At 44.2% G+C, this 25,760-nt stretch overlaps 1 protein-coding gene across 2 annotated transcripts in view; it reads left to right on the top strand.

Moving 5' to 3' along the window:
- Nucleotides 1-25,760, top strand: part of BACH2 (BACH transcriptional regulator 2) — a 370,316-nt gene that overhangs the window by 323,424 nt on the left and 21,132 nt on the right. For both annotated transcript variants that reach the window (NM_001170794.2, NM_021813.4), the window contains one exon: nt 21,558-23,150. In NM_001170794.2, coding sequence (NP_001164265.1) covers nt 21,558-23,150 — 1,593 coding nt within the window. The remainder of the gene's footprint in view (nt 1-21,557; nt 23,151-25,760) is intronic.

The following is a 25,760-nucleotide window of genomic DNA, read 5'->3' as shown; positions in this document are numbered from 1 at the left end:
GTAGGTTGCTCCACAATTATCATGGAAATCAACAAACAGGTCCTGGGAGGAAAGTCAACTTTCCCCTGCCTTTTCCCCGTTTCTGACCATGGCTGTATGCAGCATCATCTCACATTATACTAGCTCATCTATTTTCCAATCACCTTTATTTTTTATATTTTCTTATTTTTTTATTTTCATTCTTTAGAGATGGGGTCTCAGTGTTGCCCAGGCTGGTCCTGAACTCTTGGGCTCAAACGATCCCCTTCCCTCAGCCTGCTGAGTAGTTGGGATTACAGGCCCAAGCCAACACGCCCAGCCATCTTTGTTTTTGTTGTTGTTGTTGTTTTGAAATGGAATTTCGCTCTTGTTGCCCAGGCTGGAGTGCAGTGGCACAATCTCAGCTCACTGCAACCTCTGCCTTCCGGTTTCAAGCGATTCTCCTGCCTCAGACTCCCGAGTAGCTGAGATTACAGGTGCCCGCCACCATGCCCAGCTAATTTTTTTGTATTTTTAGTAGAGACGGGTTTCACCATGTTAGCCAGGCTGGTCTCGAACTCCTGACCTCGTGATCTGCCCACCTCACCCTGCCAAGGTGCTGGGATTACAGGCTTGAGCCACTGCACCCAGCCCGTCGTTTTTTTTAAAGACCCTTTACATCCTGTGAGAACTTTCACCTCTTTCTCATTGCCAGATCAGAATGACTTACTGGGAAAGTGTGCTGTTTTTAAAAATCCTACATTAGGCAGAAACTGAAACAACAGACTGACATCAAAGGTGTCCATTTAAAGAAAGCCCCAGGCTACAGAATTCTGAGCCCTATCCTCCTCCAAAATTTATGACTCTGAAACCTAAACTGCCTTGGGTCTGCCTGGGAACCTGTACATAATTCCTATTACACACTGTAAAGCGTCCCAAATAGCTTCCAAAGATACCTTGTTTTCGTCAATGGGGTATCCAGGTTGTGGCTTTGGTTAGTTAGAAGCAACATGATGCTTTTTTTAGTCGTTCTCAGTCTTGAATTGGCCTATACTCTCAGACTTCGCCAACTCTTCCTCCTAATGGCCTCTCTCATCTGTCTATATTTCCCTTCCCAACACCACTGCCTGTATCCCGGCCACAGTGGTGCTTGCCTGGACTTCTGTGACTGGCTTGCCGCCCGTCTGGCTTGTTCCCCAAATGCAGCCAAAGGAGTCTCCCTCATACTCTCCTGCGCAACAGACTCCAGTGAGGCCCCTGGGCCAGCCTCGGCGGCGGACACGGAAGGACCTTCCCAGCCCGTCCCCTTGCTCCCTTCTCCAGTTTCACCTGTGCCCTTGCCCCAGCTGCTGCTCCTGCCACACCACACTGCATGCTATGTTCTCTCTTAGGTCTTTGCACATTTCATTTCTTCCATCTGGAACACCAGCTCCCACCCAAAACCTAACTAATCCTCCCTCAGGCTGCAGCTCATTTGTCACCTCCTCAGTTAGATGCCCTTCCGCCAGCAGCTGTACTTCCCCTGTGACATGGTTTGGCTGTGTCCCCACCCACATCTCATCTTGAATTTTAGCTCCCATAATTCCCATGTGTTGTGGGAGGGACCCGGTGGGAGATAAACTGAATCACGGGGGCGGTTTCCCCCATACTGTTCTCCTGGTAGTGAATAAGTCTCATGAGATCTGATGGTTTTATAAGGAGTTTCCCTGTTCGCTTGGCTCTCATTCTGTCTTTGCCAGCGGCCATGTAAGATGTCCCTTTGCTCTTCCTTCATCTTCCACCATGACTGAGGCCTCCCCAGCCATGTGGAACTGTGAGTCCATTAAACCTCTTTTTCTTTATAAATTACCCAGTCTCAGGTATGTCTTTATCAGCAGCATGAAAATGGACTTACACACCCTGTAAGTAAGAACCGTACTGACAGTTCTTATCATGGCTGTGTTGTGATTACCTGTTGACTTGTCTCTGTCCCAATAGCCTAGAACCTCTCAGACCAAGTACCGTTTCCTTCATATTCATTGTTTTATGCCCCCAGCACCTAAGACACAATAGAACCATGCAAAGTGGTCAGTATGCATTCGTTAAAGGGATAAGGTGATTTGTATCTTATATTGAAAAGGTGCCCACCAGTGACATCCCATATTGTGAATTCCTGTGGAGGAGAATGCCTGGTGTCATTACCTTGTTCTCAGCCTATAAACTTAATCCAGCTAAGTGCTGTAGTGTCACTGAAACTCACTGATCTGTGCCTGGGGCTGCATGCTTGTCGTCTGACGCAGTTGTTCCCATGTTACTGTGTGGCAAAGGTGAACTGAAACACCTAGGGGAAGGCAGCTAGCTGTGGAGTGTTAATAATTGCTGACAGATTTGGCAGTTCATAAAGTAATGATATCATTCAGGACAAACTAATAAATAAAATAGCCTTTATTCTGCATTAAATATAATTTGCTAAAAATGTATTCTATGTGATGAACAAACCATAAGTTCCAAATTCCCTTTTTATTGCACCTAAAAAATACACCGTTAAGATCCCGCATATATTTTTTGAGGCATTTGCTTCTCTTTGCCTTGCTCTCTTTCTGTGACTTTCCCTGCGACCCAGATATAGAAATATCTTGTGTTCTTGTGCTCCCTCTCCTGGTCTTTTCTGTCTTTCAGCCAGAGCATATTCCTAGAATTGCGCACCACCCAGGTGGGGGCCTGGGCATATGAACAAAGAAGCCAGCCAGCTCGGCAGTGCTTGTTGTAAGATCTGGGGGGGGCCAGAAACAAATTTCCTTCTTCATTGTTTGCAGTCCAGCTTGACTAAGTGAAAAAGGGCCGTACAGGTGCAGAAAAGAAACATGCCTGGTATCCTTTCTGAGAAATAAAATGTTCTTTAGAAAAACACACATACACACAAACATTATAATAAAAAACACCTGATATTATGTTTTTTTGAAGCTATGCCTCCCCGGAGATATACAAATGCATGTATAAATGTGTCCAATCTGTTCTGTTAATAGTGCTAATTACCTGATTATCTGGTCAGGTACAGTAATAAACCCCTTTGACATTCTGTTCCTTCCATATGCTAGATAAAGTGTTCTAATATCTGGTCTGTGACTGTATGCTCTGCCCGCCAAGAGTCAGGAGGTGGAAAGATCATCAAAGCCTGTCGGCGGCGCTTCACTTCGGGGCACAGAACTGGGAACAGGGCACTGCCAGGCCCTACCTTGAGGTGGCAGGACAGCACTGTCCTTACTCCTCACGAGGGTGGCCTGTACTTCACAGGGCCTCTGTTGCCCTTCACATCCTCCGAACTCTGACCCTGCCCACCTTCTTTCTCCTGTTGGAGTTGCTTTTAGACACTTTATAATTTCACCTATTTATCTAACATTCTTCTTTTTTCCCCATTTGACTTTCTGAAATGCCTTCTTTGCTAACTCTGTGGTCTTTCCTACTTTAGTGTAGAAGAGGATTTTTATTTTTTCCAAGCTGATCTAAAAGACAGTCATCCCCCAACCCCCACCATCTAAAATTCTCTTACTCTAACTTAGCAGGTTAAGGATGAACCAGTTTTGCTCACTCAACTCACCCAGCCTTCATTTCCAAGCCAGCTTGCAGTCTTTTCTCACCATCCTGCAGTTCCAGCAGGACTGGTATATGTGTCCTCTTCCATCTGTTTTGCTCCATGGTTTTCCGAGCACTGTCAGCCTCTTCCCAACAGATCGTTTCTCTTCCTGTCATGTCATTCCCTTTTATGAGCCCCATTTGAAGTTTCATTTAGGTGGGGTGGAGGGCACTGGTTTCTCAGGTAGAGAAGGGTGTTAATCCCAGGTGCATATGGCAGAGCCTTTCCTAGAAAGCATGAGGCTGCCAAGGTCAGGGTCACAATATTTGAAGGACAAAGGCTGACTCCTGTTGGTGCTGCGCTCTCTGTCCCCCACCTGCTCCCATCCAAGCGTAGTGGTAGAGTGGTGGCAGCCCACATCCGTCCCTTGTCTCTCATCTTCTGCTGCACCAGGAGTCTCAACAATGGATAGGTCAGCATCAATTATTCTCCTATTTGATTGTGATACATTGTGAGTTCCTCCAGGAATTCTTACCTTCTTAAGACTACATTTTTGCTGGGCACGGTGGCTCACACCTGTAATCCCAGCACTTTGGGAGGCCGAGATGGGCGGATCACCTCAGGTCAGGAGTTCAAGATCAGCTGACCAACATGGAGAAACCCCATCTCTACTGAAAATACAAAAAAATTAGCTGGGCGTGGTGACACATTCCTGTAATCCCAGCTACTCGGGAGGCTGAGGCAGGAGAATCGCTTGAACCCAGGAGGCGGAGGTTGCGGTGAGCCAAGATCGCACCATTGCACTCCAGCCTGGGCAACAAGAGTGAAACTCAGCCTAAAAAAAAAAAAAAAAAAAAAGACTACATTTTTAAGACACATTCTTTTTTTATTATTTTTCGAGACAGAGTCTCATTCTGTCACCCAGGCTGGAGTGCAGTGGCACAATCTCAGCTTACTGCAACCTCCGCCTCCCAGATTCAAGCAGTCTTCCTGCCTCAGCCCCCCAAGTAGCTGGGACTACAGGCATACGCCACCACACCCAGCTAATGTTTGTATTTCTAGTAGAGATGGGATTTCACCATGTTGGTCAGGCTGGTCTGGAATTCCTGACCTCAAGGGATCGGCCAGCCTCAGCCTCCCAAAGTGCTGGGATTATAGGCGTGAACCACTGTGCCCAGCCCAAGACAGATTTTTAAAACTACATTTTTTGCTTCTTTCAAGTTCACTTCAGCATCCAGCACAGTGAATGCTCAAGTAAATTTTTTGCATTGATTATTTAGTAACATTTATGCAAAATGCCTCATATGTACACAAAATACTTATGGCTTTAGCCTTTCTGTGATCTAATGATGTTTTATCAATTTAACTTTTCTTAAATACTGTCATCCAACTAGCATGAAAACGTGGACTTTTGTTAATTCTTTCTAAACATGTAATGTTATTGCCTTCTTAAAAAAATACACTTTCATCACAATGCAGATTTTTAACAGATTTTATTAGAATTTATGCAGAGGACATGTAAGAAGTGTAAGACTTGGTCCTTGACTTTGAGGAATTTCTAATCAAGACAGGTCCAGTGGAATATTCAGATAACAACGCAAAACAGCCCTCCTGTGATTAAATGCCCAAACTGATGGTCTGTAAGCAAGTGCTGATTGTCCAGGTCATAGAAGGGAGGGTCCAGTTTAATTGCCACCTCCTTTGCCAGGGTTTCCCCTGGCCCTTTCATTCCACATTGGTGGATACCATCTTCCCTGTCCTCCACAGTTTTCATATGTTGGAATTTTACAGTTGGAATTGGTGAAGTAGAGTCAGCAGTGCATCTAGGCAGTGGTCATGGCTTGGGCAAATGCTAGTAAGTCAAAGAAAAGGCTAGGAGTCAGGATCAAGAGGATAACTGGAGATGAGACTGAAAAGGGAGTAGATTTGGGGGAAATTTGGAAGGCCAGGCAGGAGAGAATCAGGTTTGCTTTCTAAACCAGGGAGTTGCTGCTTGAAACATAGTCCATGTCAGAAGCATTAACTCAGAGACTCTCCAGCCTCCCTTTGATTGACTATCCAGAGAGATCATGGAGGGGCAGGAGAGAGGAGAGATGGCATCAACAGAGAGGAGAGTTCATGAGCACAGAAGTGGGATATAAAAGCAGTATTAGTTTTCCCTTTTGCTTTGAGTCTCTGTATTTTTACCACAATGGTGCCTCTACCTAGAGATTCTTAAGCCCTGGCCTCCCACGCTTGTTAAAGAAAGAAATGACGATGCCATCCAGACACCTGCTAGCTTAGTTGAGGTTTTCAAAGCTACGCTTCTCTGGGAAGGTGCCATTAAACTACTGTGGATGAGCTCTATGAATCCTCCCTGCCATGAACCAGACATTTCTTGCTATAATAGTGCAAGGAAACTGGAGGGCTTATTTTTCCTTAAGGTTTCTTAGGTTTCTGATTTGCAACCTCGGTGACTAAAATTCCATCCAAATACTGGAACACCCGGGATGCTGTAGGTGTTTTAACTCACATCCTTAAAGGTAAACTCAGAAATAGTTTGATTCACCCAGAAAAAGAACACCTGGTGTTCTTGAGACTTGGTATTTGTCAAAAACCAAAGGTTCATTTTCAGGAAGTTTGGATATCTTTATTTCTAGGAGAAAAGGTGTTTTCCCAGTTACGAGCTATAAATAATGAGGTCTTTCATAACAGTCCCAAGCCATGTTCAAAATAGATGGCCCAGAACAGCCTCCAAGGTACCATTCTGAAGCACCTGTGACTTACTTCCTTTTCTTACCATCCCCTGTGTTGGTGTGAAAAGCGTGTTTCAGCCCCACAGAAACTGGACACAACCAACCAGTCATTGTTAGAAATTTCTTTCTCCCCTGCCTCAGCATCTCTGCTGCTGCCAGAGATGACACCATTGTCAAAAATAGGACCCTACCGGCCTATAATCCTAGCACTTTGGAAAGCCAAGGAAGGAGGATTGCTTGAGCCCAGAAGTTCATGACCAGCCTGAGCAACAGAGTGAGACCCCTAACTCTACAAAAATTAAAAATAAATAGGACCCTGCCTTCATGCCCCAGCAACCTGAAGTCCTGGACACACTGCTCTTCCCAGCAAAGGCTTGCACCCAGTCACTGTCAATGTCATTTATATGCCTGGAACCCTGGTGTCCTGGGGGAAGCTTCAGGACAAGAACCCAATGGCTTCAGGTAAAAATGGCACCCATGGCTGTGCTGATAGATGGTATCGGCTCCCGTTTCATTTCCTCCCTTGACAGACAGGAATAACATATAGAAAAGATTCAAACTCAGTTAAGAAGCAGGGAGGGGAAGTGGGTGACTGACAAACCTGACTTCATGCTCTTATTCAGGGGCGTGGGTGTTGGATCATAACAATTTCTGCATCCCTAAAAGCTACAGAGTGGTATGTTCTATCTGAGAGTCCTGTAGCTTCAGGGCAGCCATTGTCCAATTCACATATGGGGTTTTGTGTTAATGGCTGCTGTTTAAATCCTCACAGAGCACAGATGGTGCCTGCATTGCATCAGCATTAACTGTTCTCCATTGGCAGAGCCCATTGCAGAAGCACAAGAAGGGAGGAGAAATCAGAAGTGTATCGTCCCTTTGGCAAAAAGTCTGGTTTCCATGTATGATTTTTATCCCAGCTTACTGTACAGCTTTGAGTAGCCCAGTCAGCATATCTCAGCTTGTTACATGATGGTTGGTAAAGGACTTAGATGAAAGAGACTAAAGACTGTAGAAATACTATCATTGCTGCTGTATCAACCATGCTGATAAGGCATACTCTGTAGCTTTATTCCTTCTGTAAGCCACAGTAACACCATTTCTATTGCCAAGGAAAGGGCTCTGCTTGAGAAGCTGATACATACATCTTCAGAATTTTTAGTACTTTTCTCTCAAAAGCCTTTCAAGTATATTAACTACCTACATGTCTTCAGCTTGTCCCTATTTATTCCTATTTTGCAAATGAAAGGGACAAATGACAGCAGGTATCAAGGTCAGATTGCTTTCCCTGCTAAAGACCAGTGGGCCTCCCCTGGTAGCACCTGGGTTCTCAAGGCTATTGGAGGATTAGTGGTGTGTCAAGCTACTTGCTTCCAGAGGCAAGAAGAAAATAATATTTTCCATAAGAGACGTGTGATCTGTCAGTTCTTCAGTTCTGATTTCAGGTGGAAAATATGACTTCAGTTCTTGAAGAAAAAATTCCCTAACCAGGTATGACAGATGTCTTCAAATATGTGATGGATTGTCATGTGAAAGAGGGATTCAAATTGCTTGCCCAAGTGGGCAGTACTAGGGCTAGCTCGGTTTAGTTCAACTAATAGTTATTGAGACTCTAGGGTGTACAAGGCACATGCTTTCAATTGAAAGTGATGGAGTGGGGAGGAAGAGAGAAGAATATCTTGCTTAACTCATAATACCAATTAGGTCAGAACCCAGCAAGTTTGATATTGGTAGGAAAGTAAAATATTTGGTAAATCATGGGATAAATCAAGAAGTTACAGTCTCCAATGTCTATTCATGGTTGAAGCAGGAGTAATGTAAAAATGGACTTGGAGATTATTGCCACAGTGATAAATAGAATTTCTCAGAGAACCCAAGTAACCTGGTAAGCAGAAGGACATCACAGTGAAATATGGCTATGGGAAGGAATTCCATATTCAAAATAAAAATGTAACCACTGGAAAGACAAGCAGAGCCAAAAGTATATCTAGGCCAGTCACTGTGGCTTATGCCTGTAATCCCAGCACTTCAGAAGGCCCAGGCGGGTGGATTACTTGAGGTCAGGAGTTCGAGACTAGCCTGACCAACATGGCGAAACCCCTTCTCTACTAAAAATACAAAAAAATTAGCCAGGTGTGGTGGCACACGCCTGTAATCCCAGCTACTTGGGAGGTTGAGGCACGAGAATCGCTTGAACCTGGAGGCGGAGGCTGCAGTTAGCCGAGATTGTGCCACTACATTGCAGCCTGGGTGACAGAGTGAGACTCCATCTCAAAAAAAAAAGAATTACATCTAATAAGGTCTGTAAGCAAATCTAGAAACATAGGGCAGGGGCCCTCTGAAGAGCACTAGGAGATTAGAAGAGAGAGGAGCAAAATTGATATTGTAGGAGTTTATGGGTCCTATTGTCAGGACAATTAAAGGTTCCATGTTCCTATTCCCATGTACAGAATTAGGTCAAATAGCTACCAGAATTCTCCTCGACCAGTAGTTGAATACCTGAGTGGTTATTGATTTGCCACATTGGCAATTCCACCTTCCAGAAAGTAGAAGATGCAAAGGTAGAACTGCTATTCGGGTCGTAATCTGGCTAAAAGGAATTAATAAGAGTACACATGAGAAGATCTTTAGAAGAAAGCGGCAGTATCATCTTAAAGAACATGAAGTCAAAGAAGATTTTGTACGGTCCAAAATATTTCAAGACCTTTTTTATTGTGATTTTAAAAAAAATAACATAAAATTTACCATACATGTTTATGTGTACAGTTCAGTAGTGTTAAATAAGTTCAATACTCTTAAGTATTCACATTGTTGTGAAACAGATCTCCAAAGTTTTTTCATCTTGGAAAATCCAAAACTCTGTACTCATTAAACAACTCCCCCTCTTTTTCTTCCCCCAGCCCCTGATAAACGCCATTCCACTTTCTGTTTCTATGAATGTGACTACTTTTCTTTTTTTTTTTTTTTTTAATTATACTTTAAGTTTTAGGGTACGTGTGCACATTGTGCAGGTTAGTTACATATGTATGCATGTGCCATGCTGGTGCGCTGCACCCACTAACTCGTCATCTAGCATTAGGTATATCTCCCGATGCTATCCCTCCCCACTCCTCCCACCCCACAACAGTCCCCAGAGTGTGATATTCACCTTCCTGTGTCCATGTGAGAATGTGACTACTTTTCAATGCCTCATATAAGTGGAATCACACAGAAGTTTCTTTTTATGATTAGTTTAATTCACTTAGCGTAATGTCCTCAAGGTTCATCCATGTTAGAACACGTGACAGGATTTTCTTCCTTTTAAGGCTGAGAGTCCATTGTATGTATCTACCACATTTTGTTGATCCAGTCACTCATGAATGGAAATTTGGGTTGCTTTCACTTCTTGGCTATTGTGAATAATGCTGCTGTGAACATGAGTGTACAAACACCTCTTTAAGACCCTGCTTTGGATTCTTTTGAAAATATCCCCCAAACTGGGTTTGCTGGATCATATGGTAGTTCTATTTGTAATTTTTTAAGGAACCTTCATACTGTTTTCCATAGCAGCTGCACTATTTTGCAATCTCTTCAACAATGCACAAGGGCCAAATGCAGTGACTCACACCTGTCATTCCTGCACTTTGGGAGAACGAGGCAGGAGAATCACTTGAGCCCAGGAGTTCAAGACCAGCCTGGGCAACATGGCAAGACTCTGTCTCTACAAAAATAAGAAATTAACCGGGCATGACGGTATGTGCCTCCTGTCCCAGCTACTTGGGAAACTGAGATGGGAGGAGCACTTGAGCCTGGGAAGTTGAGCCTGCAGTGAACTATGATCATGCCACTGCCCTCCAGCCTGGGTGAGAGTGAGACCCTGTCTTAAAAACAAAAACAAACAAGAAAAATAAAAAATAAAACAGTGCACAAGGATTTCAATTTCTCCACGGCCTCGCTGACACTTGTTACTCTGTTTTTTTGGTAGTAGTCATCCCAGTGGGTGTAAGGTGAGATCTCATTGTAGTTTTAATTTTTATTTCTCTGTTAATTAGTGACGTTGAGCATCTTTTCATATGTTTGTTGGCTATTTGTATGTCTTTGGAGAAACGTCTATTCAAGTCCTTTGCCTACTTTTAGTTGGGTTATTTTATATTTTGCTGTTGGGAGTTGTAGGAGTTCTTTAAATGAGAGTTCTTTACATAGGGGTTCTTTATATATCAACCCTTTACTAGGTATATGATTTACAAATATTCCCTCCCATTCCATGAGTTGCCTTTTTACTTTGATTGTATCCTTTGATAGAATCAGATTTTAAGTTTGATATAGTCCCATTTGTTCATTTTTGCTTTTGTTTCTTGTGCTTTTGGTGTCATATCCAAGAACTCATTACCAAGTCCAATGACATGAAGCTTTTCCCCCATGTTTTCTTCTAGAGTTTTATAATTTTGGGTTCAAGACATTTTTAAACAGATTTTTATGTTAACAAGAAAAAGGTAGAAATTATGCATCTGTGGGGAAAGATGATTCAGGAGGGCTAGAAGTGTCCAAAACAAAGTTCACATGAGGACCCTTTTCTTGAAAAAGGAGGGTAAATTGTGCCAGCAGTTGTGTTTCATTCAGAGTTTTATTTTAAACACTGGAAAAACACGAACAACTATGGGAACATGTATGGAACCACAAATAAGGCGTTCAAGAAAACTCAAGCCCAAAATGAGTGGAGACCTTTCGAAGAGGACCACAGAAAACAAAAATGAATTTGTGGTTCTCTTTGGAGCGTAAAGATGAGGGAACCAACAGCTGCTCATTGGGGCTGACTGTGTAGTACTGAGGATGGCAAAAAGCCCAGAGTTAATTTTATATTGTGCATCAAGGAGAATGACTGAATGAATGACCATAAGACTGAAAAGTGAGAAAAAACTTGGAAAAGGGAAAGGAAGCCCTAGGTAGATGAACAAAAAGAAAATGCTAAGCTCCCAGACTGGATGAAGTAAAGCCCCCAAACTGCAGGGGGAATAATATGATTATGATACAACTTGCTATGGTCAAAATCTTTCAGGGACTGTGGAGCTAAGGAAAGTGTCAAAAGACTAGAGATCAGAAATTGCATCGTAATTTGCAAAACAAAGAGAAGAAAGTGGATCTTTAAAAATTTGACTGAATAGTAGTTTTTATAATAGGAATGATTTCTGAGTATCTAGACAAGTACACACTCTTGGGTCAAAAATTTGATTTTGCAAGGTTAAAATGGACACATGGCTTATCAATAGATACTGGGAGGAAATAAGCTCAGAGATGTTAATTGTAAATAATAAGTGACAGTGAAATCTGAGCATTTCTAGAAAATAGGATATAGACAGAGAGAGGTGATAGTGTGTCCTCTGTACCAATGATTGGAGCATTTATTCAATCCAGATATCTGCCAGGGGTGTAGTCGCAGGCAGTGTGGTTCAGAGGAGAGTAACAAGAAAGGTGTAAGAACTCATAACTGACTAAGCCAAAACTTCCATTCCTGAAACTTAACATGAAGAACCATTAGAAGGTGCTAATGAGGGGCCAAACTTCTCATCACTGGAAGCCTTCAAAAATGTTTTGTATTTTCTGGTTGAAGATCAAGTGGTTCATAGTTGGTTTGAAATGACTAGAGGGGTTGAGAGGGTGAAACCAGACCTTGAGTCAAGAAATTCTCGCCTAGGAAAATCACTGGTTTCTGGAATGGGAAGAGGGTCATTTAAAATGGAAATTAGGTAATTTTTTCTAAATCTTCTTTTTAAAAATAATTTTCTTTTGGAGGCAGTTTTTCGAATGAAACCATAAACCTTGATGCAGGTTTTACTACTTCATTACCAGTGAGTGGGATGCTTTTCACTTTTATTTTACACTGAAAAACGTGAAACATTACTACTATTTCATATCTATTTTAAGACCTACACTTATATTGAAATTGGATTTTTAAAAATTATTCTGTGAACTTCATTTTATAATCTTTCAGAAGGGAGATTTTCTGTTTTCACCGTATGCTTTTAGGGTAAATATGAATATAGTTCCTTGTATCTGTATCATATATGACTTTTGCCTGTCACTAACCTAGGAAATATAACCATCTATACCTGAATGGGAAAATTATGAGCGCCACATATGAAGGAGGTGAGATGAGATGGGCAAAACCACCCAGTTGAAACGAAGGTTCCACATACCCAAGGTGTCGCCAGTTCTCAGGAAAGACAATATGGAATGTTTGCTTTTGGGACCTTCTCCTGTTCCCATCAACCTTGAAACAACCAAAGAAATACCTAAGGGGCAGTTTCAGCCATTATATAGCCCCATAACCATTCTGAGCCGACTATCACAGAGAGGGGACACGTAACGCTCCCCCTAGACATCAGCTTCATCCGACTGCCATTCCACTGTGGAACAAAGCTCTGGTGCCATGTGGCACCCCGCCAGAAGGGCATTTCTGCTTTGTCTTCTAGATTCTAAGGACCAATACTTAGCTAGGCCTGATAATTTACCAAATCCCCATGTGGTAAAAGGGCTTCGTAGGATTTGCAGAGTTTCATTGAGCAGGAAAGGGACACAGCAGTTATCTTCATCCTTCAGGAGGAATGCAGACACTGGAAAAATAGAACCAATTATGAGATTCACCTTCTGCATACCAAAAGATGTACTGCATCCAATTGGCCAGACTTCTTTGGATAGAGCTATATAAAACAATATTTTAGAGAGAGTAATAAAATTTACAATAACATGTTTCCATATGAAATAGCATTTCTTTCCTAGTTCACTTCAGAGAAACAGCAACAGGTAGAAAGGGAGCATGAGAGTTGAACTCTGCGGTCGGAAGACATGAGTTTAGCCCTGGCCAGGCAGCCCTGTGACTTTGGGTAAATCCCTTCACCTTTCTGGGCCTTGGCCTCCTTGTCTGTAAATTGGATTGTTAAGTCAGGGAACTAGAAACCATGCCAGGTGTTTCAAATAGAGGGGCTATAAAACAGGAAATTGGTTACACAGGTGTTGGAAAACTGGAAGAACAGAAAAGGGAAGGAGAGCTAACCTAATGATTAATGACCGCAGAAAGTATCTACCACTCCTAGGGCTGGAGGGGATGAAAGGGACCTGTGAGCATGGTGGAGGGGCGGGTGCCTCGGGAGCTGCAGCTGTGGGGCAGACAGCCCCTTCCGGACACTCCACCACAGAGTCAGGGATGCAGCCACTTCCAGAACACACCGCCAAGAAAGGAAAGATAAACAGAGCAAGAGACAGAAGGAGCCACAGCGTCTTCATGCCTCCCACCTTCTGAGCTCACCCACCTGTGCACCTGTTGGCAGGTCCGATAATAAGTTAACCAGCAAAAGAGCCTAGGAAACAAGAGTTTTTGAACTCCCAGCCTCAGCAAGAGGGAAATATGAGAAAAGTGGATGTGAGTCCGAGAGACAATAGTAAATAACCAACATATGAGTTTACAACATCAAACTAAAATTCAGTCAAATAATAGAAGTCAAAATTAGTAGTTGGTAAGGACTATTTCAGTTTTCCGGTTATGTTTGTATTAAGGTAGTTAAGTTGTATTAAAGTAGTGTTACAGAGATACACACGCACAGAGAGAGTGATAATAGTTTTGGTTCTGGCCTCAACAGTTTCTGAATAATTTTTTTAGGTGTTTTTTAATTTAAAAAGTTTGTATTGAGTCATGATTTAGGAAAAAACTACAAGTACATTTCGGAAAACCCTGTGACAGGAGAAATCATAGCAAAAATGTGGGTTATGGTAGGGTCTGTCCTCAAGAATTCCTGAGAATAATTGCAGGGAGTCTGAGTCTGTTAACTGATTCAAGTCATGACTCTCTATCATGGGGATTCGAGTCAGGCCTTTGCTCACTGAGCCTACATGATTTTCCTTTTTTTACTAATCAAAAAGTACCTTGGTGGGCTGACCATGTTTTTCAGCCCAAAGTTGAAGTCAAATGGTGGTCTACTGTTTGACCTCCACCCTGGGATGCCATCACCCCCTCCTCAAATCAGGGAGTCCATTTCAACTGCAGGGAATAGGTAACTGTGTGTGTGTGTGTGTGTGTGTGTGTGTGTGTGTGTGTGTGTGTGTGTGCACTTGTGCATGCATGTGTTATTGACAGGGCCAGCTTCATGAGCATAAAACCTGTGCAACTAATTGCACAGGGCCCCATGCTCAGAGGGGTCCTGCACTTTGTTTAATGTTCTCTTGTCACTTGAAATTCTTAATCTCTGAACAAGAGGCTAACATTTTCATTTTGCACTAGGCCCTGCAAACCATCTAGCCAGTTCTGGTTTTGTGGTAGGGGAGGGCAATTGTGAATAGAGGACCAGGAAAGGTCTCAGTGAGGAAATGGCGTTTGAGGAAAAGCCGGAAGATGATGAGGGAGTGAGACATGCCTTTCTTTTACTTATTCTGAAGAACTTCAACTCAGCCCTCAACACTTGGCAAGTGTTACCTCCTCTAAGTAGCCTTACACTAATTCCCTTAGCAGTTACTGCTCCAGCCCTGTCCTCCCAGCATCCTGCAAATACCTCTGTTACGTACTCAGGTGACACTGTAAACATTTATATTGAACATCTGTCTCCCCAGTCACTTGTTAGCTCCTTGGAGAAAAAGGTGGTGTTTTATTCATATTTGTAGCAACAGCAATAATACTGGTTGTTACTTAATGCCAGGTCCTGTTCCAAAGGTTTTACTATAAGGCAGGCACTGTCAGTATCCCTGTCTTACAGTTGTAGAAACTAAAGCATAGAGAAACTAAAGCACAGAAAGGTTAAGTAACCAGCCCAAGTGACACAGCTGGTAGACAGCAGAGCTGAGACTTGAATCCAAGAAAGTGGAGTCCCCAGACCTTGCATAGTACACAGTGAGTGCCTAGCACATCGTTGGAGAATGAAAAAATGAGTATGGATGGACACAGTGGCTCATGCCTGTAATCCCAGCACTTTGAGAGGCTGAGGCAGGAAAATGGCTTGAGCCCAGGAGTTCGAGGCCAGCCTGGACAACATAGTGAGACCTCATCTCTAAAAAATAAAATAAAATTAGTAAACAAAAAAATTATAAGTGACTGAATGATCAGATAGAGTCTCAGGAGTAAAACTTACAAATAGGGGAAGGATTTTTACATTATGGCTGCAGATCCAAGTTCAAACCTGCACAGGAGAGAAAAGACACTCCGTTTATGTTTTAAGACATATTCACTAAGACAAATAATGATTTTCTTTAGCTAAAAGAACCACCATATGAAATGATATATGTATAAATCAATTTCAATGTTGATTTAGTTTTTATATTATTACCTTAGGAATAGAACACAAAATAAGCTCTATCTAAAATTCATAATAAAATTGCCCAGGCACAATGGCTAACACTTGTAATCCCAATACTTTGGGAGGTCAAAATAGACGGATTGCTTGAGTCCAGGAGTTTGAGACCACCTGGGCAACATAGTGAAACCCCGTCTCTACTAAAAATACAAAAATTAGCTGGGCATAGTGGTATATGCCGATAGTCCCAGCTATTCAAGAGGCTGAGTTGGGAGAATCACCTGAGCCCCAAAGGTTGAGGCTGCAGTAAGTGGCAAGATCATGCCACTGCACTCCAGCCTGGACAACCAGTATGAGACCCTGTCAGTAAATAAATAAATAAAATTAATACGAGGCCAGATGTGGTGGCTTACACCTGTAATTCTAGTACTTTGGGAGGCTGAGGCAGGAGGATCCCTTGAGCCCAGGAGTTCAAGACAAGCCTGGGCAACATAGGGAGACCCTGTCTGTAAAAATAGATAAAATAAAAATTAATACTAAAATAACCAGAAGCTTTGTTGAAATAGTAAGGTGAATTAATTTGACAAATACTTTCTAAATGTCTAGCATGCTGCTTTGGAAGAAGAATGTGATAATGTGGATATGAATTATAGAAAATTAAGATGAGGAGTGATGCCTGATCACTAAGTCAGTTTTCATCCTGCAGAGTGGGTTGCAGTGCAGTAAGAGAGTGGGAAGGGAGAGTTAATTGTCACCAGCATTGCTTTCATCATTTGACAAGTGCCTTGCTGTGCAAATACAACCCAGAGGGGTTGTCAGTGGTCTAGCGTTTTAAAAAGCCCTTGGGCAGGGGTTCATTACCTTTATCTTCCTGGTTCCTGCAGTGTGTAAGAGATTCAGCTTCATCAGGAAAGTGTACATGGTGTTGCTGAAGATGTAAGTTTCCCTTTTTTGTGAAGTTGTGATTAAGGGACCTTGAGAAGCGTGCCAGCCCTCTCCCAGGGAGCAGTCACCTGTCCTCCGGATTCATCTGATCAGCCTTCTGCAGATGGGCTCAATGCTACAGCCATGTGTATATACTGCCAAAACCAACTGGAGACACCTTAGTCATGTAGCTTATATAGAGAATGATGTTCCAAGTCTCAAAAATCCTCAAACCCTATTTTCAATAAATGCCTGAAGGCTGACTGCCTCATCCCTATCATAGTCCAGAGATGGAACTGTTGTAAGTATCCTCATAAACTCTGTCCTGCAGCAAAATGGATGTCTCATGAAACACTGAGCTCCCCAAAACACTGAGCTCCCCAAAACACTGAGCTCCCCAGCTTTGCAAACAGTGCCCAAACTTTCTCTACAAATTGAGTTTTCATCAGCCCATCTTCCTTTCAGCAGAGAGATGATATGTTAGAATCCAATGTAATGAAGGATTAAGGGTCATAGTTACAGTGGGTCAAATTTCAACACATTGTCAGCATGTTGACTTGCACCATCGGACACGGTACCCTGGCCTTATTTCTTTCAGGGTTGAACCAACTATGTGCCAACTGCTAGCTGAGGTCATCACCTCCTAGGAAGCAGTCTGTGGGAGGTTGGAGGGTTAACTTTCTGCCTTCTCCGAGGTCTCGCCCCCACATGGCACACTGTATTCTGGCCCCAATGTGTGATCCCATCTCATCTGTATCAGAATGAGTATTGCACAGTATGAGACCAGGTAGTTACATATTTAAGTGCAATGAAAAAATGTTCTTCGAAATGAGGCATTCAAAATATTTTCATTCAAAATGCAAGACTGTTATCCCAAGTTGTCCCTAACACCATATTTTGCATTTGTTTCTCATACCTTGAGGCCACTGCTGACCAGTGGATTTTAGTCTAGATGGGTCTGCTTAGAGCAGAGGGATGCAACTCCATTAACATCAGTGAGTTGGAACTATTCTTCTATTTATAGCCACTTCATTCCATTTTAACTTTATGATCATTACTTTTTAAAATACCATTTTATGAGTTGTTAGTTTTGCGTGTAATTCTCCACCTCCCACCCCCCTCTTATTTTTTCCCATTATTAGAGCCTTATTTGTTAAGAACAAAAAGTAAGTAACAATGCAGACTTGTGGTCACAGTTTCATGAACATACAGCTTTTCACTGGTACCTGAATATTTGCCTTCTGAGTATAATGAATGAATTTAAATGGTCCCTAAAAATGGGTAGACAGTGCCACCTTCTCAAGATGGAGGCTAAGCCAGTATTTAGAAAGCCTCTGCCTGTTGTAACACTTGCTGGCAGGTGTGATGGGCACTTGCTTTCTGTTTTGTGTATCTGGAGCGATTACCACTGCCGAAAGTAGACCAGAGATGGGTTCCTGGGAGGGACCCTTGTGACAGTTCCGAAAGTAGCCATCGTATCAAAGCAACCCTTGACCTAGAGCAGACACTCAAGGCGTGCTGATAAAAGTGTTCAAGGGGCCCCCTTGCTAGTCCCCTCAGCCTCAGTAGTCTCCTATCCTGAACTTGTCTGGATTTCTCAGTTGACAACTACTCATATAATCTTGCAATGGCTTTTCCATTGTTGACTTGCTTACATTGTTACTTAGTTAACTTTTCATCATTTGTACCTCTTCTACAAAGCTAAATCTTAGATCTCTTGAGCACAGGCCTGAGTCCTACACATATCCTTCCCTCACACCACTAGCACAGAAGAAGAAACAGACTGGACTTGGTTTGGAATCCTAGCTCTCCACTGACTAGCACTGACCATGGATAAACTCCTTCACCTCCCTGCTTCATAGTTTCCTTATCTACAGAATAAGGGCAGTCATGCCTGCCTTGCAGGGTGTTACAAGAGCACAGTGCTGGGCACTAGGAGATACTTGGTAAATGGTCATTCTGGCTCACCAAACAAAGCCTCACACACAGAAGCTGAGCAAAATCTTGCAGACTTAAATATGACAAAGCAGGACTGAAACCAGAATGGGAGAAGAGCTAGTTATGAGCTCTTGAACTTTCATGGTGAGGACACCATTTCCTCTGCCCTTGGGCTTAAGTGACAGTTTACAAACCAGATTTTTTATCTATGACTCTTTCATGACCATATGACGATCATTTCAAGCTCAGGAAGTTTCCTAAGCCTCAGTGATCTAAGGAGTGCCATTGATTTGTGATGTGGAGACTTTGCTCATTCACCTCCTTGGTCCAATTCATACATTTAAGCATCAGCTCGTCCCTGAGCGGAGATGCTTTCTCCAGCTCCTTGCAGCCATGTGGCAGAGGGTGACTCCCAGTACTGCTTCCTGATCTACAGATCCCCATGGATGTCCCTGGCTTCTTTAGAAATTTTCTTTACAAGAGGCCACAGTGGAAGATAGTGGTAAGACTTACTTAGACCTACAGCATCAAAAAAAAAAAAAATGGTGATAAGGATGGGAGTATGAGAAAAACTGTGTGAACACTCTGGGGACTGTTGTGGGGTGGGGGGAGGGGGGAGGGATAGCATTAGGAGATATACCTAATGCTAAATGACTAGTTAATGGGTGCAGCACACCAGCATGACACATGTGTACATATGTAACCTGCACATTATGCACATGTACCCTAAAACTTAAAGCATAATAATAATAAAAAAAAAAAGAAAAACTGTGTGAACAGTATAAATAGCATTGAAATTAGTTTCCTACATTTCCCATATAGTGAGCACCTTTGCCAAAACTCAAGAAGTGTCTTATCCACCCTTTTGGCAACTGGCACATTACAGAGGAGCATAGGATCATTACGAGGGCAGGGGTCAACTCTGCATTGATTTCACCATTTCTTTCTTTGTGGTGGAGCCATGTGGCAGTAAAGGAATAGGTCATGTGACATTCTTGTCATCTTCTTCAGTTACCTATAAATACACATTTCCTTGCTTTTTTACTTTCTTTTAAAGATTCTTGGAAGAAAAGGACATAAAACAGATGTATTGTCAGTACTACATTTGCTGAACCTATTACCATGTCAGCTTAGCAGGATACAAAAGTGTCGGTCAGACCTCCTTTTTAATACTGGTACTGTGACACGGGGCAAACAAAGACCCTTGCCTGCCTGCCTTTGATCAGTTGATCGGTTCAGTTAGTTGGTTTACATGATGCCTTGCTCCAAAAGTAACTTGAGACAACACTCTCTAAACATACTGTGTTGTCACCTTGCATACACAGTAGTAGTATGTTAGGACACAGTTTGACTCATGACATATTTGGTAACATACAAGCTTTTAACAAGTATTTACCATGTGAGAGACCCCAGGTTAGATTAGATGCAAGGTTACAAAGACAGACAAAACCATTCCTGATCTGAAGGAGCTTGCTGTCTTATGGTAGAAACAGGCACAATTAGGTATAATAAAAGGGAGATGGCACTGATTGCCCATATAGAATTTATAATGTGGGTCTAGCAGTCATGGCTTTTTGTTTTGTTTTTTTAACCAAATATCTCTGGACTCATCATCTGACAGAAAAATTTAATGTGGAATCTTACTTGAGTACTTTAAAAAGATTAACAATTAAAATCCCGTTCAGTTACATGTCTAAGAAATTTCCGTTACTGGAAAGAATGCAATGATATGAAATCAGTGCTGCCCTGGAGAATCCAGCACGTCTCCTCATCTGGCTATGAGAGCTGAGAGGACAATGTCATTCATTCTCTCTAAGAGGACTGGAGAGCACTCCCAAAGGAGTGAATGTCCAGGTTGAATCTTGAACATCAATTACAGGTCCTTGCAAGAATTTTGGCTCTGTATGCTGCGGTGAGTTTAATACACACAGAAGTCAGCTACAAAGTTTACCAGTTCACCTTGCTGTGCACTCACTCCCCCCGCTAAAATTTTGTATCACTGCTACCATAGCCTCTAGCAAGGACCCCATGATTGCTGCTTTCATTTGATTTGTACAGGATTTGTAGACATGCGTCACCTTCCTGTGTGGTCAGCAGTGCTTGCAAGAACCTAGAGGATGTGTGGTTTTATGTGCAGGGTAAGGAAGCTTACCCTGATGAACACCAGCAAGTTTAATCCATTTCCATCTGAAAAAACAATTGGCCTTAGGCAACATATTCTTAATTGTCTAAGTCATTGTGTGTGAGCAGGCATGCGTGTGGGCACACACGTGTTTGTGTGCATATGCAAGCTGTGCATAAATAGCACACTTTCAATCTTTGTAAAATATAACAGATAAGCAGCAAATGACAGTAGGCTTAGCCCCTGAAGATTTACCAGGAAAAAAAGACAGCTGCATGGCAAAGCTGCTGCTAATAATTAGGGAAGGAATAGCCCATACCCTGTGCCACTCAGCAGCTTCAACCATTTAAATGAGAGCCGGTTTGTTTAACTCTGCAACCCCCATTCATTATGGGCCAGGGGTTGATTTCATCTTGAGCACACCACTTTTGATTGTTGTCATCTCTGGTGAGATAATGAGATCATCATCATCATAAGATCAGGTAGACATGATGACCGAAAGTCTCAAGTAGAAACTGTGATGGATGAGCAAAACAGGAGTTGTTTTAATGTCTCTTTTAACATTGTAAGTGAGGAAAACCTATTTTTACAACTCCCTGGAGTTAGTTTTTTGCAGGGTCACATTGCCATTTTTGTGGTTGACAAGAAAACGTTAAGGCTCTCTTGGGCTCCAGCAAGCTGCAAGAAGTGTCACAACACTCCCCCCTCGTGTAGAATGGCTCTCAACAGGACTGATTGGGAGGGAAATTAATAGGCTCCCCATTGTCACCGTGCATTTTTGCCAGGATATTTCATTAGTGTAAACACTGAACCCGTTGTCATCTTGTTTAGCCACTTGACCCTGGTGATTTTCAATTCTGCCTGTGCTGTGATGGAGTACAACAGTGGCATGCACGAGACAGGCACTAATTATTGGAAGCAGAATCATTGCTGACCCAGTACTACAAGATTAACTGCCCCTTTGCAGTCTTTATTCTGGGACATTAGCACTGTCTGGTTATCTTGCTTCAGTTGAGGGATTCGGGACAATAGCAGTGCTGATGGTAATGTTGGCGATTTCCCTGTTTGTTTTGCAGGTCACAGCCAGGGGCTTTGGGCCGCTGTTACAGTTTGCCTACACTGCCAAGCTGTTACTCAGCAGAGAAAACATCCGCGAGGTCATCCGCTGTGCTGAGTTCCTGCGCATGCACAACCTGGAGGACTCCTGCTTCAGCTTCCTGCAGACCCAGCTCCTGAACAGTGAGGATGGCCTGTTTGTGTGCCGGAAGGATGCTGCGTGCCAGCGCCCACACGAGGACTGCGAGAACTCTGCAGGAGAGGAGGAGGATGAAGAGGAGGAGACGATGGATTCAGAGACGGCCAAGATGGCTTGCCCCAGGGACCAGATGCTTCCAGAGCCCATCAGCTTTGAGGCCGCCGCCATCCCCGTAGCAGAGAAGGAAGAAGCCCTGCTGCCCGAGCCTGACGTGCCCACAGACACCAAGGAGAGCTCAGAAAAGGACGCGTTAACGCAGTACCCCAGATACAAGAAATACCAGCTTGCATGTACCAAGAATGTCTATAATGCATCATCACACAGTACCTCAGGTTTTGCAAGCACATTCCGGGAAGATAACTCTAGCAACAGCCTCAAGCCGGGGCTTGCCAGGGGGCAGATTAAAAGTGAGCCGCCCAGTGAAGAGAATGAGGAAGAGAGCATCACGCTCTGCCTGTCTGGAGATGAGCCTGACGCCAAGGACAGAGCGGGGGATGTCGAGATGGACCGGAAACAGCCCAGCCCTGCCCCTACCCCCACGGCCCCAGCTGGGGCCGCCTGCCTGGAGAGATCCAGGAGCGTGGCCTCGCCCTCCTGCTTAAGGTCTCTGTTCAGCATAACGAAAAGTGTGGAGCTGTCTGGCCTGCCCAGTACATCTCAGCAGCACTTTGCCAGGAGTCCAGCCTGCCCTTTTGACAAGGGGATCACTCAGGGTGACCTTAAAACTGACTACACCCCTTTCACAGGGAATTATGGACAGCCCCACGTGGGCCAGAAGGAGGTGTCCAACTTCACCATGGGGTCGCCCCTCAGGGGGCCTGGGTTGGAGGCTCTCTGTAAACAGGAGGGAGAGCTGGACCGGAGGAGCGTGATCTTCTCCTCCAGCGCTTGTGACCAAGTGAGCACCTCGGTGCATTCTTATTCTGGGGTGAGCAGTTTGGACAAAGACCTCTCTGAGCCGGTGCCAAAGGGTCTGTGGGTGGGAGCCGGCCAGTCCCTCCCCAGCTCGCAGGCCTACTCCCACGGTGGGCTGATGGCCGACCACTTGCCAGGAAGGATGCGGCCCAACACCAGCTGCCCGGTACCAATCAAAGTCTGCCCTCGCTCACCCCCCTTGGAGACCAGGACCAGGACTTCCAGCTCCTGCTCTTCCTATTCCTACGCGGAGGACGGGAGCGGGGGCTCACCCTGCAGCCTCCCTCTCTGTGAGTTCTCCTCCTCGCCCTGTTCCCAGGGAGCCAGATTCCTTGCCACAGAACATCAGGAACCAGGCCTGATGGGAGATGGAATGTACAACCAAGTGCGGCCCCAAATTAAATGTGAGCAGTCTTATGGAACCAACTCCAGTGACGAATCCGGATCGTTCTCGGAAGCAGACAGTGAGTCGTGTCCTGTGCAGGACAGGGGCCAGGAGGTAGGGAACCCACATAAATTCAAGCATGTGACCCACTCTCTAGGCCCTTTATCTGGACTACTCCCTGCCCCCCACCACTCCCACATTGTTCTTACGTGCTAAGATTAAAGATGACAGTAGAGAGACTGCCTTCCCCATCCACAGAGGCAGGATGCTGAAGGTGATTCCACATTAACCACTTCTGTCCTAGAAAAGCACTTGATATTTGATCTGGATCTCAATACTCGACAAGCAGAGGCAAGCTGCTGAGTAAAAATATACTGAAGTCTAATGCATGAAGTACACTGAGGCACTCCAGACCCCCCTCTTTCTCCTCCCTCTCTCCCCCTCCTACACCTGCTTTGAAAGGATGCCATGTTCATCACCCTCATCCTTGCCCTTCACCCGTTCAGCGTAAAGGAAGATATAGAATCTCTTTCCAGATTGATTGATTGAAACCAAATAGATCAACACTCTCCCAGCACCTTTTAGATTTTCCTTGTCAACAGAAGACCCCAGGGCCATCCCATGTCCATCACAGTGAAGGTGATGGAAGCCTCACCGTTTATCCCGGTCCTGGGGTCATCACAGAAGCACCCTAGTCAGCCACACATAATGTATAATGGATCATTTCCCAAGCTCCCTCAAATGCTAGGAAGACATTTTGAGAAGTAGTGGGGTAGAGTAGCAGTTTCATCCACCCTGAAAGCAATGTACTTGCTAGGAAAAATGTCCAGAGGCTCCATGTGTGTCTTACCATTGCTGGAAGAGGGGAACAGGGGCAACAGCAGCCACATCGTGAGCAAGACTCACAAGACTAAGGAGAGGAAAGAAGAGGCCCCTGCAGAGGACCCACCTCCCCAATAACATGAACATTCCCTAGAAAGACCTGAGAGAGTCTGTGTCGTGACCTGGCGTTCACTGCACTGTCTTGCTGATTGACAAGGTACCAGCTTGAGACTGCTACCTGTGTCTCAGACCCCCCTCAGGAGCGGGATTGAACAAACCCAGTGACAAGTCCCTTCTCAGAGCTGTGTATCCCAAAAACACAGGAAGAAATGAAACATGGTCCTCCTGAGGCCGGCAACCTTGGTACCCATCTGTGCTCTCTGGATGTTACCAGCCTCTGTAAGGCAGAGATGTTAACCCAGCCAGAAAGCAGAAATGCCATACGGGATGAGGTGGCTTTTCACAGAGCCACGTGCAGTTTATTCAGCCTCTGCAAGATTGGCGAGAAGCACATGAGGTTTTAGTTTGGGCGTGTTTTGAAAATAGATGCCAAAGGCCCCTGTGCCAACTGCAAAAATGCCCTGTGGTCACTTTCTTTGCTTGCTAGCCTGGTTTCTGCCCCTCTCTTAACTGCCTAGCAGACATGGAGAAAGAGAAACACTGCAAGGATTTAATTTAAAATAAATTAGAAAGGAAATATGAATGGGAGCTATTCCCATGCGAATATACCACCTCCCCTTAGGTTTGGGGTGGTGGGTTGTGCCCAGTGCCCCAAGCCAGGCTCACATCTGTGTCCCTGACATTGGGAAGATTGAGCTTTCCCGAAAATAGTGAAAGGCTGTGTTTTCTCTCTCCTCACTCATTCTTTCCCTCTGACCTCTTTTGTGAGGTTTTCCTTTTGTTCTGAAACCGTGAATGAGCGTGCCTGATGTGGAAGGCAAGTCACTGCGTCCACCTCATCCGCATCATGGCTTCCTACCAAGGACTGGTGGAGGGAGAAGAGCACAAAGGCCTGCAGTCTTTGTTTTTTGTCTCTCCTTTAAGAGGAGCCTGGGGCCGGGCATGGTGGCTCAGGCCTGTAATCCTAGCATTTTGGGAGGCCGAGGTGGGTGGATCACTTGAGCTCAGGATTTCAAGACCAGCCTGGGCAACATGGTGAAACCCCATCTCTACCAAAAATATAAAAAAATAGCCAGGCGTGGTGGCTCGTGCCAGTAGTCCCAGCTACCTGTGGGACTGAGGTGGGAGGATCACTTGAGCCCAGGAGAAGGAGGTTGCAGTGAGCTGAGATGGTGGCACTGCACTCCAGCCTCGGTGACAAAGTGAGACCCTGTCTCAAAAAAAAATAAAAGGCTGGCCATTAAGCTCAAGGGAGGGTGGTGTTTTTATGACATTTGCATATGTTCAAAGAACTGTCAGTTTCAGATACATCTTCTTTTGTGTCCCCCCACCCTCGCCGCCAATATCCCAAAAGAGAGCTTAAAGTCTTGGGGCCACAGCAAGAACACATTTTTTGTGTGTATGTTGGGACCATGTCAGTTGTTTACTTTAGAACTAAAAATATTAACTCAATTAAAAGGAGGACTCATTCAACCTGTAAAATAGTCATGAACAGGACTAGCCTTCCCCCCTTGAGAAATACCGCTACTTTTAAAAATACTCTTATTTTTACCTTTAAAAAAGGAATCCATGGCTGGGCGCGGTGGCTCACACCTGTAATGCCAGCACTTTGGGAGGCCGAGGCGGGCGAATCACAAGGTCGGGAGATCGAGACCATCCTGGCTAACACGGTGAAACCCCGTCTCTACTAAAAAATACAAAAAAAAAAATTAGCTGGGCGTCGTGGTGGGCGCCTGTAGTCCCAGCTACTCAGGAGGCTGAGGCAGGAGAATGGCGTGAGCC

The sequence above is a fragment of the Homo sapiens genome, chromosome 6 (assembly GCF_000001405.40).
Source record: "Homo sapiens chromosome 6, GRCh38.p14 Primary Assembly".
In the NCBI taxonomy this organism is placed as follows: Eukaryota; Metazoa; Chordata; class Mammalia; order Primates; family Hominidae; genus Homo; species Homo sapiens.
The sequence above is the reverse complement of the archived record's forward strand: the minus strand, read 5'-3'. Positions and strand labels throughout refer to the sequence as shown.